Source organism: Homo sapiens, chromosome 5 (genome assembly GCF_000001405.40).
Source record: "Homo sapiens chromosome 5, GRCh38.p14 Primary Assembly".
In the NCBI taxonomy this organism is placed as follows: Eukaryota; Metazoa; Chordata; class Mammalia; order Primates; family Hominidae; genus Homo; species Homo sapiens.
Window position 1 is genome coordinate 115,802,107 of NC_000005.10, and position 14,688 is coordinate 115,816,794.

Consider the following 14,688-nt stretch of genomic DNA (forward strand, 5'->3'; position numbering starts at 1 on the left):
TAGAGATTTCACTGTTAGATAGTGTGATTGGGAAATTCCTCTCTGGGAAGATGGCATCTGAACTGAAACCTGATGGGCAAGAATGAGCCAGCCACGTAAAGAGCTGGGAAAGGACATTCTAGGCAGAGGGAGCCACAGTGCCAAGCTCCAGCTGCAGGTAAGATTGGAGAAACTGAGTAGTATGGGGTGATTGGCCACCTGTCTCCTCACTTTAGGGCTACTCCTCTTCTACCCTCAGGTCTCCACTCCCTTTTACATCCCACCTACACTTTAGCAAACAGTATGATTCCAGCCCTCAATATTCCTTCTCACTCCTACAAAGTCCTCTTGAGCCCTTGATGCCATCACTGCCTTGCTTATGTGCAAACATCCCACTGACCCAAGCAAACAGTAAGCTCTGGGAGAAGCAGTACGTTGGCTCCTGCATAAATGTTGTTATGGGCTAGAGGGAGCAGGCCAATCACAGAGGCAGGGAGAGTGGTGAGGCCATCTAGATTGAGCCTCACATTCACAAAGTTCTTCACATTTACATTTGACCATCACTATCATACATAGGGTATTATGTCATTTATGTGTGTTAAAGGTGCTATTTATTAAGCACTTATGTATATGTAGAAAACATGTAACTATACCATAATTTTGCTTTTTGTTATAATGGGATACAAAAAAAATGAGAAGTGGCCCAGCCTTCTTTTACCTTGAAAGGCCTAAATATAAAGAGAATGAGTTTTAGAGGATGATTGCTTGAGATCAAATCCTGGCTTCAATCCTAGCTCTGTAATATTTTGGCTAGATACCTTTTGGCGAGTTTCTTAACCATGCTGAATATGTGTATATAGAAAGAGGAATTGTGTTCTAGGATGGATGGTAAAAAGAGCCTCCCTCATACCTAATTTAGATAATGATATATGGATAAGGGTTTTGGACTTCTGAGTTGATATTGTGATGGGATGTAACTCTGTGATCAGGAGAAAGGCCTTCCAAAGGCATTCAATCTAATACTCAGAACCTAGAAATGTTATTTCATGTGGCCAAAAACAAAACAACTTCTCAGATGTGATTAAGGATACAATCTTGAGATGGAGACATTGTCTAGTTCCTCAAAGAAAAAAAGGGAAGTAAATGAGATGTAGAAGGACTAAATCCGCCATTGCTGGCTTTGAAGATGGAGGAAGGATGTTCAAGTCAAGGAATACTGGACAGTCTTTAGGAGCTGAGGGAAAAAGAAACCCACAAAACAAGAAAACAGATACTGTGCAGCGTACAGAAAGGAGTGTAGCCCTTACAATACTGATTCTAGTGCTGCGAAACAGACTTCTGACCTGCAGGGCTATAGAATAATACATCTGCATTGCTTTAACCCTCTACGTTTGTGATAATGTGCTATATACAGCAGCAGAAATATACCAATTCATTAAGGTTACTTTTCAGAACTATTAGTAGGCTCAAACAACTTATAACAATACCTAATACATAGTAAGCATTCGATAAGTGTTAATATCTTTCCAAAGGATGAGAGAGGAAGCTAACATGTAAATACTAATATGAGATATATAAACAATATAACCAATGAGCTACACAGAAACTATTTTTAAAGGACTTTGCTAACTAAATTCCCAGAATTAATTAGCTCTAAGATTATGACAGATATTCCTTAAGAAGTTGCTTAGAGCAGGAAGAGCAAACTCGAATGCACATGCAGGCTTTGCAGGTAACAAATAATGGAAATAGGTGAGTTTGGGACTGCAGCAGATCGGGGGGCCGACCCATTTAAGAGGCAAACCCCAGCCTAGCCAACTAATACCAATAAAAATGCAGTGCAGACCAAGTGTTCTAGATAATTCAAATTTTGAGCAGCTAGAATCCCTCAACTTCTATGAAATCTCCAGTTTTTAAATGTCGAAAACCAATCCACATTTAAACACATACAGATATAGACACACAATTTCCAGGCAAAACTGACCACGTCTGAGCCACACTACAGCCAGAGGCTCTCAGATTGGTGTCTCTGACCAATTAGTGAAGATATTAAGTCCAAAAAGGTTAAGTTGTTTTTGAATGTTTTTTGGCTCTCTCATATTCTTACATCATAAAAGCATTTGTCGGCTGGGCGCGGTGGCTCACGCCTGTAATCCCAGCACTTTGGGAGGCCGAGGCGGGCCGATCACTAGGTCAGGAGATCGAGACCATAGAATGGTGAAACCCCGTCTCTACTAAAAATACAAAAAATGGCCGGGCGCGGTGGCTCACGCCTGTAATCCCAGCACTTTGGGAGGCCGAGGTGGGCAAATCACGAGGTCAGGAGATTGAGACCATCCTGGCTAACACGGTGAAACCCCGTCTCTACTAAAAATACAAAAAATTAGCCGGGTGCAGTGGCAGGCGCCTGTAGTCCCAGCTACTCAGGAGGCTGAGGCAGGAGAATGGCGTGAACCCGGGAGGCGGAGCTTACAGTGAGCCGAGATTGCACCACCGCACTCCAGCCTGGGCGACAGAGTGAGACTCTGTCTCAAAAAAAAAAAAAAAAAAAAAAAAAACCATTTGTCACAGTGCTTTTGTATATCTAGATCTAAGAAACTGATTTATGTGAAGTTTCTATCATGTTAATCAGAAAGACACCTTCAAATTGTGTTCAAATCCACTTTATTTAAATTATTTGGTAATTTTAGCAGTACAAAATCTTTGACTATGACCATGGGACACAGACATGAGTTTATGTTTTGGTTTGTTGTGGTCTGGGGATCATGTACTTTTCTAAATCCTCTGCACTTCCTTTCATTAACAAATGGCAGAGTGCCGTAAGTTCCTCTATTATTCATAGAAAAGAAATTTGTAAGGTAAGACTGAAAAAATAAAATCTACAGATTCACAAAATTATCTTCCAATATTAAGAACATACAAAGTATACTAAAGACATCTACATTTAGTCCTCCAGGTAACAAAGCAAACATTTGACGTTTGACGTTTCTGTTTTTACTTCTTGCTAATTACAGTTCAGAGACCAAAGTATTTCCAAAAGCTATGAAAACCCTCACTGACGCTCCTAGTATGGATTTAATGGAATTAGAGGATAGAACTATGAGAGCACTTGAAAACTTGCCTTTAAAAATCACAAGACTTTCTTTTCCTCAGTGGGACTTTTCTTCTGCAGTAGCTGAGGGCACTATTTGCTTACTTAATGCCTTATAATTAGCATCTGCCTTACAGTAGATCTAAGTATTGGCTTATTTAAGTATATTACTGGATAGCACGTGGTAGGTAGCCTTTTTGTCCAAGGCAAACATACAGCGAACCTTAAAGTAAAACCTCAGAGGGTTTGGTGCCCCTTAGTTGTTCTCCAGCGAGCCCGAAGTTGCCTGTAAAAAAGGGAAAAAAAGAAAGCTGTGTAAGAAACTTTACAAAAGACATTTTAACTCCTTCTAAATAGTTCTGCTTTTGTAGCAGTGTATGAAAACTCAGCAAGGGCAAGGGAGCCTTGTTGTTTTTCCCGCAATAAGAATATCTCTTAGGGTTTGGAATGTGGAAGATAAAGATGAAGCGGAGCGATAATGAGAAAATTCTGCCCTGGCTTCCCTCAGAGGCTGCGCTTTCATTAAGACTCAAGGATTGCTTTGGTCTCCATTTTCACACATTGTCTATTTCTGGATATTCTGATAATTAAAGACTATTCCTCTAAATGACAAACTTATTTCAGAGGTAGAAGACTGCCCTGCTATATTAGTGTTGGTTGCCTTTTTATTTTTAGTAGGAAATGCTTGTTTCTCAAGGAGGAACATGTTAGTATAGTCTATTCTTATTTGTGGTATAAATGGCATAACAACTCTAAGAATAAGCAACATTGGCAAACAAAACAGACAATTTGCTTTAGTTATATCATCAGAATAACCTTTACAAAGGTTAATTATGCAACTTATCCCTGTTGGCCCAGCAAATTAGACCTATGCATAGTAAGTCATGGCAGTAACAGTTATATCAAATAATAGTTTTCACTCTCATTTCCCAAGTAAATGAAAACATTTTCTTTAAAAACAAGCATACATTTTGAAATTTCTCAACTAATGTTTGGATCTAACATAATAAGTTTTTAAAAATAAATTGAAAAGATAGTCGCTAAAGTTAAATAAAACAATCAAGATATATTGGGCCTTATCCATGAATTAAGACTCATCTCATTCTTTGCATACATGCAGTGTAACAGTGCCAACCTACAGAGCATTTAAACCTAGAAGAAATTATACTCACATTTGGAGTTCTGATTCCAAATTTACTATGGAATGTCATTGTGACTTTGTTTTTATGTCCTGTTCTTTGATCAAAGGCATGGCATGTATCAAAAGGTGGACTGTACAAGTGAAGGCTCACAGCAGGTTCCGTATGGCTGATGTTCTCTACTCGATGTAAGCCAATGGAATCTAAACAATATCCGGGAAGGAAAAATAGATAAAGGAGCCTAGATAACAGCTGTAGGTAAAATCTCTGTGAGTCATCTGAGATCATGAATCAATTGTGATGCAAATGGAATAGATATTAATTAGAATTGAACTTGCAGTTAAAGATAGTAAGTGACACGCATGCATTAGCCTCTGCTCCTTCCTGAAAACCCTCTCCAATGGCAGTAAAAAAATAAAAAAGACATCAATATACAAAGACAAAATAGGAAAAGAGAAAACACTAACAAAAATTTGAAAGCTTAGAAAGTAAGATGGATAGCTTTACAGAGCAGAGAAAGCTAAATCCTAAGCTATCCATGGAGAAAACCAAGAAATAACCTGATTTATATCTTGAAACTCCAAATAGCACAGGAATTGACAGCACCAGGTACTTCTGGAAATGAGGGTAAAGATAGGCTGTAGATATAAGAACTGGTTTAAAGCTTGTTTATGAAGTAGAGTCTCAAAACCCTTTTACCAATTCTCTCTCTTCTTTCTTTTCAGCAGCAGAGTAAGGTCTAGTCTCTAGAAAGAGTGTAAGAGATCAACTTGGGACTGATGGAAATCAGGTGAAAAACAGGTGAATTAAACAAAAGCTTCCATACTGAATGGTAAAAATCCCTGCTTTAGTCATCACCTAGCTGCGAGAATGCTGCCAGACAAGATTTTTCTTTCCAGGCAGAAGATAGGAAGCAACTTCTCAGAGAATCTGATTGGCTCAAGAAAAAAGCTTTAAAGATATTGTCGCTGGAAGTTCCTGAAGAAAAAGTCTCTGCCAGACTATCAAAAAGTGAAATCCAGTTGACAAGCTCCACTCATGTTCAGGGTTACCAATTAATTTTTTTGTTCTTGGTTTTTAAATATTAGCACATTGCCAAGGTCACCAGACATTTGAGCAAGGCCTCTAGTATGAAAGACAGAGGGCAGAGCAAACAAAAAAGCAACCTGCAACAGAGACTACTCAGGGGAAGTGTTCAAAAACCTATCATTAATGTTTTCCTAGAAATAAGAGAAAATACCATAAAAGGGACCATAAAACAAAAAGAGGTTGAAGAAACAGAAACCAGAAAAGGGTTGGCAGGAAATGCTGAGGAAGACTCAAAGAACAAAAGGACAAAGACAGAAAATAGAAAAGAAAGAGAAAAAAAAAAAAGAGGAACAGTTCAAGAGGTTTAATATCTAAATAGGAGTTTCAGAAACAGAATTAAAAAAAAATTCAAAGAAATAACCTGTTAATGTTTTCCTGAGTCGAAGGACACGAATTCCCAGATTTAAAAACCCACTGAGTACCCAGCACAATGAATGAGTCATCAAACAAGATACATCACTGTGAAATTTCAGAATACTGAGGATAGAGAGAAGGCACCAAAAGAGAAGATCCCAAAAGTTTCTAGAAAGAAAATAGAAAGATTCAAAAATCAGAATGGGACCAGGTTTTTTTAAAAAAAAACAAAAAAAACAAAAACAGGGTCTCATTCTGCTGTCCATGCTGAAGTATAGCAGTGGGATCTTGGCTCATTGTAGCCTCCACCTCCCGGGCTCAAGTGATCCTCCCACTTAGCTTCCCAAGTATCTGGGACTACAGGCACCTGCCACCATGCCCAGCTAATTTTTGTATTTTTGGTAGAGATGGGGTTTCAACATGTTGTCCAGGCTGTTCTTGAACTCCTGGGCTCAAGCAATTCTTCCATCTTAGCCTCCCAAAGTGCTGGGATTACAGGTGTGAGTCACCACACCCGGCCAGCCCTAGGCTTTTGATAAGAACACTAGAAACTAAAAGACAAAGGAATTACCCTCATGGTTCTGAGGGAAGATGTTTATCAGGTGATAATCCATAACCCAGCTAAATTATCAATCAAGTTGTAGGAGTTGAATATAGAGATATTTAAATATATGGGGTCTCAAAAATTTACCTTCCATGGATCCTTTCTTGTGGAGCCATTGGAGCATATGCTCCACCAAAACAAGGGCATCAACCAAGAATGAAAAAAAATCATGAGATCAGTAAAGAGGGGATCCAGCCACAGGAAACAGCAAAGGGAAAGCTTGAGAGAATGTAAGCCTTACATTGTAAGGAATCTCAGGATCACAGCTCACCCCTGGCCTAGAGATCAACGAATCTGTGCTGAAGCAGTCAAGAGGCCCTGGGAGAGAGATCTTCAAGAAGATTAAACACACACACACACAAAAACAAAACAAAACAAACAAAACAAAAAAACGAGATGAAATACTCAATTAAAAAATGTTAATAAACTTACACAGTTACAAGAAAGTTTCAGGGATTAATCAAGTAATGAATTTAGCATAACTAATGTAGGCACCCCATGAGGCTTTGTGCTTTCTTCTTTATGATCTAGCTCCATGAGTGCACATCATAAAGAAGAATGAAGCATAGAACCAGAAGACTTAAGTTCTACTTCTAGGTAATTAGCGATGCTATCTTTGAACAAGCCACACATTCTAGGATCTTTCATTTTCCTTATTTCTAAAACTGGTGCCTAATTCTCAGATCTGCAAATTCTTTGATCCTGTAGCTTGTTGTGTTCATAATATACTGGCTAAAGCACAGTTTTGAACAAATGTTCAACACTGCAGGTCCACGCATCATCTAATGCATGCTGACAATCCTGCAAGCAAAGACCCTGCAAAAACAAGACACCCATCCTTTAGAGAAGCTCCTATTAATAATCCAGGCATTATTATTATATTTTGATCTTTGCTTCTTTTTCCTTTATGGTCATGGTGTACCCTCTGTCACAGTAATACTGGACTTTTCTTGGGGGTATTTATGAAGCAGAGTTAGGTCCAGGCCCGGTCGACCTTTTGCTCATTACAATAGGCAACTTGGTCTCCTTGCCCCAGTCCTCCCTTCTCCTCCACCCTATGTTGCATGCTGCCACCAAATCGATCAAGATATTCCCAATTATAACTCTGCTGACCAAAGAAAGTCCTTACTTTTAGCTGGTCTTGCAGGCCCATACCCTGAGCTCACTTTACTCTCCTGCTAATCCACTGACCAAACCCATTCTTCTTTCTTTCCTTCCCCCAATGCTTGAATAGTTTCCATTTTTTACAACAATTGTACCTTCACTTGTGCTCTTCCTTGTACTTGCAACATCCTTCCCCCTGATCACTATCCATCTCCACCCCTACTCCTGCATCTGTAAGAATCAGAGGTTGAAAATTTGTGGCTTTTAAGTTATTTGGGTAATTAGTCTACAGAAATAATTAACATATCCCACCGAATATTTTAATAATTGGCAAAATTTCATATAAAACCCAGAATTTCCAACTTCTATGGAAAAAGAAACCAGGTTGATCTCACTGGAGCTGGGTGGCCACTGCTGTCACCTTAATATGAGGCTTGTATACTCCAGTTCATACCAGGCCTCACCACAGCTTTATCCCTGATGTATACCACTTCCTTATCTGTTGAGATTCTATAGGTTTTTGCATTGAAGACCTTTAAAAAGCTTACCTATTCTTAAAGATCTGATCTATTTTCACAAGCACTCTGACTCCAGCTGAAAGTAATTATTCTGAAAGGTGTGTGAATGCTTTACTTCTGAAATTATTCTGAAAGCTTTACTGTGAATGTACAGACAACAGAATTTTCTTGGAAATCTGGTGTGCCTTATAGATAGCAACCCTCACATTATTTGGGTAAATGAATCAGAGCTTCCTGCCACATAGGAAACTAACATCCTTGTGTTATGTGAATGAGCGACAACTTCCCATACAATTTGATCTTTGCAAGTGACTTGTATATAGGCCAAATATCGAGGCCAGTAAGATTTATGGAGAAAAAAACTTGCTTTGCCAAAAAAAAATCCCCCAAAGCTCTATAATACTTTATATAGGTGGGGTACATGCTGATGAAGAACATAGGTTTTTCAATCAAATTGCTTAGGTTCAAATTCTGGTTGCCACTTAAAAGCTGAGTAACCTTGGACAAATTGTTTAATCTTCCTATGTGTTGGCAACCTCCTACGTAAAAGGGAATAAAAAACTATCTATCTGTCTCATATACATTTTAATGAGCTTTTTGGAAAGTTACTGTTCCTTTTAGGAATATGGAAATTAATCACTGCCTCTCTTGAAAAGTATTTGGCTATCCCATATCCCATTTAGAAAAGATAAGGAATTCTTGGTAAGATATGTATAAATCACTGGCCAATAACGTGCTTTGTAAAATTTCCCTCGAGGATACTTTTTAGGTATGCTATATGTATTTTAGAAAAACAGAGACTAGCTAGCATTCTTAATTAGTTACAGAACATTTTGTTCTATTTTCTAACACAAGGCTAATGTTTCCAACTTGATCTCTTTTGTTGAAAGACTCCACTGAAGTAAATTCATATTTTATTTTAACTGTCTTAAGTCTTGGCAAGTAAATGACTTTTCAGTGGATACTGATCTGCATGCATATGTTTTCAATAAGTGATTCCAACCAAGATACAAAGGCTTAAAAAACAAAACCTGCTATGTTTAAGTCATTTCCCAAGTATTTTAAATCATGACTCATGATCCAGGTTCTACTGCATAAAAAGTGTAAGTAACCAATATTTCAGACAAAAGGTCATGGTTCTTCCCACTTGCCCTTAGAAAAAGAATAAGATGTTACCATTGATGTAGGCACACTGGTTTTCCCTCAAGACTCTTTCAGACTTCTTGACCATCTCATTGGATTTTTTGTCAGGCCAGGCAAATAATGTCTCCTTTAGATTTCCCTGTAGCATCTTCAGAAAGCAGTGGGAGTTGGTATGATCATGAATACTGCTATATGTACACAAAATGACAACTGAACTCAGTAGATGGTCTAGTATCCAGACCTGCAGTAACAGTCTTCCCAGAACTGACACCTGCATACTGTCAATAAGCTATCTCCCCAGCCAAAATCCATTTCAGCTGAATTTTTAAAATGTTATCAACTTACAGTTCAACAATGTTCAGGGTAAAGTAATAATATATCATCTATATCAATTCATATAAAAGGTACAATTTTGATGCATACCCCTACTAATGAACAGTTTTTTTAACTTTGTTATACTACTTTGATAACAGAAACACAAAACCAGCAACACTTTATCTTCCCCCAAATACATATAACTCACTTAAACTGGGCTAGAATTTGATTATGAAAGTACATTAGAGAAATTTTAGAAAGGATTAAGACAATCATCCATAGTAATTGTACCACACTGAGAAGATCCACTTAACATTTAATGTTTTTTCCCCAAGGCTTTTGTCTTTTCTCCTTCCTTTGGGGAGCTGTGGGAGAGAAGGTATCTATATGTGTATTACCATCCTAAAGTTACACTGTATATAAAATGTTAACATTGTGTCAATTTACAGTGCTCTACCTGTGATTACCTTCCAACATTGGTGGGAAAAAGTTAATTGGATTTGAGGAAACAAAGGATTTATTTATGCAATCTCAGAGTGAATAGTATTTAAGTATATGAAGCAGTCGTGGTTACAGGGTTAATTAAAATATATGTATCTATATACATTTTGGGTATTCATTTCATCTATTGAATTTTATTAATTTATATATGTACCATAAAAAGAATTTGTTTCCTAAATCCACAGAGTCTAGTCCCACTCTGGACATAATGTGCTTTCAAAAATATTGAGAGAATGAATGGAAACACTTCATTCCATATGAGTAAATAAATGCACTCTACAGACCTAACTTTCCAAACACTTATAAATTCATGTTTTCTTTCATAAAAATGGATCTAAATTATTGCTTTTACCATTCTCAAGACTGAGAAAGGTATGTTTCAAAAGAGAGTAATACTTAGTTGATAATAAGACTGTCAAACGTGAAACTAAAGATAAATTAAGGAGCTAAGTTTCAAAGAATCAGTATAAGTTGCCTTTTCAGTAAAGAAACTAAAGAATTAACTTGAAGTAGAAAGAAATTTTCTGAATTTGCAATGCTTTTCTAGCTTCAAATCTCCATCCTTTGGTCTTTGGTCCCACGATTGTTTACACACCTCAAACACCACAAATGTCAAGTGTAAACACAATTTCACATAAAGTTTTACTGCACAGAAAACAGAGTATGGTTAACTTAAGGGGGTTACTTACCTCATTTGATTTACTATTCATTTTGGGGGCTGGTTTTAATATGTGTAGTGTATGCCTGAATGCCCTGTGCTAATTCCATTGATAATTTTTGTTGGGATTAGGGAACATTGTGAACAAGTAAGTAGAAAATGAGGGCTGGGTGTGGTGGCTCATACCTGTAATCCCAGCACTTTGGGATGCCGAGGTGAGTGGATCACCTGAGGTCAGGAGTTCGAGACCAGCCTAACCAACATGGTGAAACCCCATCTCTACTAAAAATACAAAATTAGCCAGGCATGGTGGTGCATACCTGTAATCCCAGCTACTCAGGAGGCTAAGGCAGGAGAATTGCTTGAACCCAGGAGGCAGAAGTTGCAGTGAGCTGAGATCATGCCATTTCACTCCAGCCTGGGCAACAAGAGTGAACCACTGTCTCAAAAAAAAAAAAAAAAAAAAAAAAAAATGAGATTTGTTACTACTTGTAAGACCTGTGGCTAGCCTGGTACTATATTTTTCATATGCTAGAAAACATGCTCTAATAAATATCTGTGAATGAATAGTTATTTTACCTGCCATGTCCTTCACCCCAACAGAGAATCATCAGATTAAATTTTCCATTTCCTTGATCCACAAGATTTCGGGTATACCTAAAAAAAAACAATATATTCAGAAGTTTTAAGTTCGTTGCTGAAACAAGCACTGGAAAAAATAAGTGTGTCACCAAGTACCATTTATTCACAAATGTTAACATTTCCACCTCTAAGCAACTTTGAATGCAGTTTTCTAATTAGAAATCCAACACAAATGAAAAATCCTTTTTCACAGTTCATTTTGAACCGCTGCATTTACAGAGGTAGCTGCTCAGTTTTAATTAATGGCACGGGAAAAATAACAGGAAAAAAACCGAAATTGCATGTTTCTCAATGTGACAGCCTCAAACTGATGGAGTAAGTTTCTCAGAGAAAGTATTTCCAAAGTGCATTACTGGTTGAGGCAAGAATGTTGCTATTGTTTTTTTTTTTTTCTTTTTTCTGCCTGTAGCTAAATCAAGACTTGAGAAACAAGGTTTCATTAAATAGCTGTTCTAGAATTCTTAGTTTTACTAAAGCCTAGACACAAACCACATTCAAAAGCCCTTATAATGAAAAGTCTTCCACAAATACCGTGGGGGCTGATCTAACTACCAGAACAAAGAAGACTACATTAGTGAAGTAAAGAACCCTCTAAACCTCTTACAATTAGGAGAAACCAGTAACTGGCAAACACATACACACAGACACACTCACCACAACCAACCACCACCACTGCCACCACCAACAACAAACTGCAAACCACGACCACGACTGTGAAAAAAGCAAAATCAACGTCAAAGTTTCTATTGGTCCAAGGTGTACTGTTGACAGCATCTAGTTAGCAAAGTTTCATAATTATGACATTCATTTAGACTGTCATGTTAAAGAAAAGGGGTCTTTACTCCATTTTTTGGGAGTTTTTTTTCCCTTCGTCATCGGTTAACTCTTGTCCAGCATGCCCCTTCCATCCTGTCCCATTCCTCCCCACCCCGAGGTGTCCGAAGAGCATGATCCTAGAGGGAGTTACTTAGTAAGTGCTTTTTAGCCTCAGTTTTCCCTACTTTGTAGCCTTTATGACCTAACAAGAAGCTGTGTACACAACCTTCAATTCACAGTAAACTGAGTTCCTGCAGAAGGATCCTAATTCTTCCTCCAGAAGTCTTAGGATAATCTTTGTTGCTTCTCTGCAGCTTCTTTCAAAGAATTCACAGCCTGGCCCACACGGGAGCATATTCTGTCTTGATTCTTCTGCACTGGCCCTCCCAAAGTCAGAGAACAGAATCCTTCACAGCGCTAGGCACCTATTTAATGCAAAAAATACTGTAGAATTGACTTCTCTCCCATCTCCTGTCTTCCCCCAACTGCCCCCTCGGGACTACATCCATTATGTTAATGAGCTGTACCTCAGATATCTGTGAAAAGACCGATCAACCCAGCTGGTTGCACTTCAAAAGCTTTAGAGTTTGTCAATCGAGACTAGTTCAAGGTCCTTGAAAATACACTTGTTCTAAAGATTAAAGATTAAAAACTGTTACAACCTGTCCTGGTTTAACAGTGGTTTAGAGTGTAGGCTCTGGAACAACAATGCTAACCCCGGGAGCCTGGAGCCGCTATCGATAGAAGACCTAGTGCAAGTCATTCAACTTCTTCATTGCCTGCCATTCCTCATATGTGTCAAGTGTCTGGAAGAGTACCTGTCCCATAACAAGTCTTCAATTACCTGGAGCAAATGCAAGAAAATTTAAAAGCTAGACTCTCTGCTAGCTTTCACGGCTACAGAAGGGCTCTACCATGAACTAAGCTGATAGGAGCCAAAGGAATTTCCTCAAGTCACTTGTATATGAAAAATGGGATCCTTAGTGGTCTTCACTTTTTCTATTTCAAATCCTAAAATACAGTTGAAACCGCCCATGCCAACAAAACTTTACGAAACATCCCACATGTTGAAGAGTGACTAAAAGAACCTGCTCCCAAGAAAAACAAACTTACTTCTTTCCTTATTCTTTTCTTTCACTTACCCCTTTCTCCTAACCCTAAACCCAAAAAACCACAAAGACTGACGCACTAACTGCTCAGAAAAAGTAGAACCTCTCACACTTCGGGGTGATTAAATTTTACCTCTGGCCCCGGAGGATTGGTAGAGAGATTCGACTTAATCACCAAGCCGGGGCTGCAAAAAAGCCAGCTTACCAGGGCACCTCACTCAAGTACATCTGGGAAGTAGGGGTCTTTAATTTACATTACAGATCGTCAGAAGCAAGGATAAGATAAATCAGATCATTTGGGGGCTGAAAAAAACGACGGTCGAATATTTAATCTGCGAAACTTGGCAGTGGATTTGAATAAACCCACAGTCGGGGAAGTTAGTTAAATTGGTTTGGGAAAGGGAACAGCAGAAATTCCGTAGTGGCAGCTGACGGCCACAAGACGCTATTTTACATGAGTAAAAATGCTTGCTATAAGGTGCCCGGTTGCAGGCGACCGAAGGCGCAGTGATGGAGAACTGACGCGGGTGACTTGTCTTCTTCAACATCACACACTTCTCCCGATGGCTGATGTAGTGCTCCCCTGGGAGCACCCTCTGCTAGTCCGGCCAGACGGTTCCTTAAGGTGTCAGGAGGGCCCGAACCTGAGTGCGGTCTCTCCGCATCTCCGCGCCCGGGGTTAACGATGGCTTGGGAGTGTGGGCATTGCTCCCGAGGCCAGGGGCAGGAGGACTGGTGGTTTAGAAGCAGAGGGGTTTGCGGGAGAGAAGAGAACAGAAAATCTCGCAGACGCGCGGTGGCCTCCCTTCCCGGCGCCTGTCCGCCGTTCCCGGCCGGAGGTCAGCAAGGCCAGTAGGATCCACCTTCCGCCTGCGCTGTGGCCGCGGAGCCCCAAGCGAGTCGTGCCAGCCCCGCGGCTGGCCAGCGAGGGGGCGAGCGGCGGACGCAGCGCGGCCCGAGCTTCCCGAGCCAGTCACTTTGGGCTGCGTCCCCCACGTCCATTCCTCCTCAGACGGGGCGAGTGGGCGCCGCCTGGCATTGAAGCTGCAGCGCGCTCACCTGTACTGGTCGAACTTGGCGTACATTGCCCACTCGGTGGGGTCGCTCTCGTAGGCTTCCATGATGGCCTGCACCTCCTCTACATTGACCTCATCGCCGGCAAAGAGCTGGTGCAGGATGCGGATCAGATCAGCCAGGGTCCGTGGCTTCAGCACTTCGGTCTGTTCCATCTCGTGGGGAGCTGGCTGCGCGCGCGTCTCACTGCTGGGCTGCGGTGGAGGAGCTGAGCGAGCCAAGGAGCTGGGGGCGAGGGAGCCTAACAGCCCGCTAGACCGCTAAGCAGACACACACGCACAAACCCAGCATTAGAGTGCCGAAACGTAAGGATGTCGTCGCAGAGACAGCAAGAGACCCACCCCCAGGCCCCTGGCAGCGCAGTGGATCCGGGATCGCTGGAGACGCGGTGCACACACAAATCAGGTTCAGATCTGTGGGGTTCATCCTCCCGGGCCCCTTTTAAGCGCTTGGAGTCACTAGGAATGTACCAACGGCCCTCGGAGGGAGGACGAGGCGGAGAGCCACCCAAGAAAGGTGGCGGAGGCGGGGAGACCCTGCGGGCACGGCTCA

At 40.4% G+C, this 14,688-nt stretch overlaps 1 protein-coding gene across 10 annotated transcripts, besides 1 other annotated feature; it reads right to left on the reverse strand.

Annotated features, from left to right (window-relative positions):
* Positions 1-2,626: 2,626 nt before the first annotated feature.
* CDO1 (cysteine dioxygenase type 1) lies at positions 2,627-14,553 on the reverse strand. 10 transcript variants are annotated; one of them, NR_136618.2, is made up of 7 exons: positions 14,122-14,553; positions 11,075-11,152; positions 9,055-9,209; positions 7,516-7,591; positions 6,344-6,587; positions 4,243-4,412; positions 2,627-3,356 (listed from the first exon to the last, which is right to left on the reverse strand). NR_136618.2 is itself a non-coding variant. In XM_047416628.1 (7 exons), exons 2-7 carry the CDS (start codon positions 12,084-12,086, stop codon positions 3,327-3,329), a joined length of 597 nt encoding a protein of 198 aa, XP_047272584.1. In that variant the 5' UTR covers positions 12,087-12,378; positions 12,481-14,553; the 3' UTR covers positions 2,627-3,326. The 10 variants fall into 10 exon arrangements, 6 of the variants coding, with proteins under 6 accessions (XP_047272584.1, XP_047272585.1, NP_001310494.1 ...); XM_047416628.1 differs by lacking the exons at positions 6,344-6,587; positions 7,516-7,591 and adding exons at positions 11,792-11,848; positions 11,980-12,378 and having other exon boundaries at positions 12,481-14,553; NR_136621.2 differs by lacking the exon at positions 6,344-6,587 and having other exon boundaries at positions 14,478-14,553.
* Positions 7,926-8,220: a silencer, noted in NCBI's record as "tiled region #14872; HepG2 Repressive non-DNase unmatched - State 23:Low". NCBI's record gives its function as "represses a minimal TATA promoter and a strong SV40 promoter by Sharpr-MPRA in HepG2 cells {active_cell/tissue: HepG2}" and the evidence as "EXISTENCE:reporter gene assay evidence [ECO:0000049][PMID:27701403]".
* Positions 14,554-14,688: the final 135 nt, after the last annotated feature.

Coding starts and splice junctions, on each gene's coding strand:
- CDO1 (NM_001323565.2), bottom strand. CDS start 14,291: ATGGAACAGACCGAAGTGCTGAAGCCACGGACCCTGGCTGATCTGATC. Junction 9,210..11,074: donor TGGGGTGAAGGACATGGCAG/GTAAAATAACTA, acceptor GTGTACATATAG/CAGTATTCATGATCATACCA. Junction 3,357..4,242: donor TTGGAATCAGAACTCCAAAT/GTGAGTATAATT, acceptor CCTTTTTTACAG/GCAACTTCGGGCTCGCTGGA.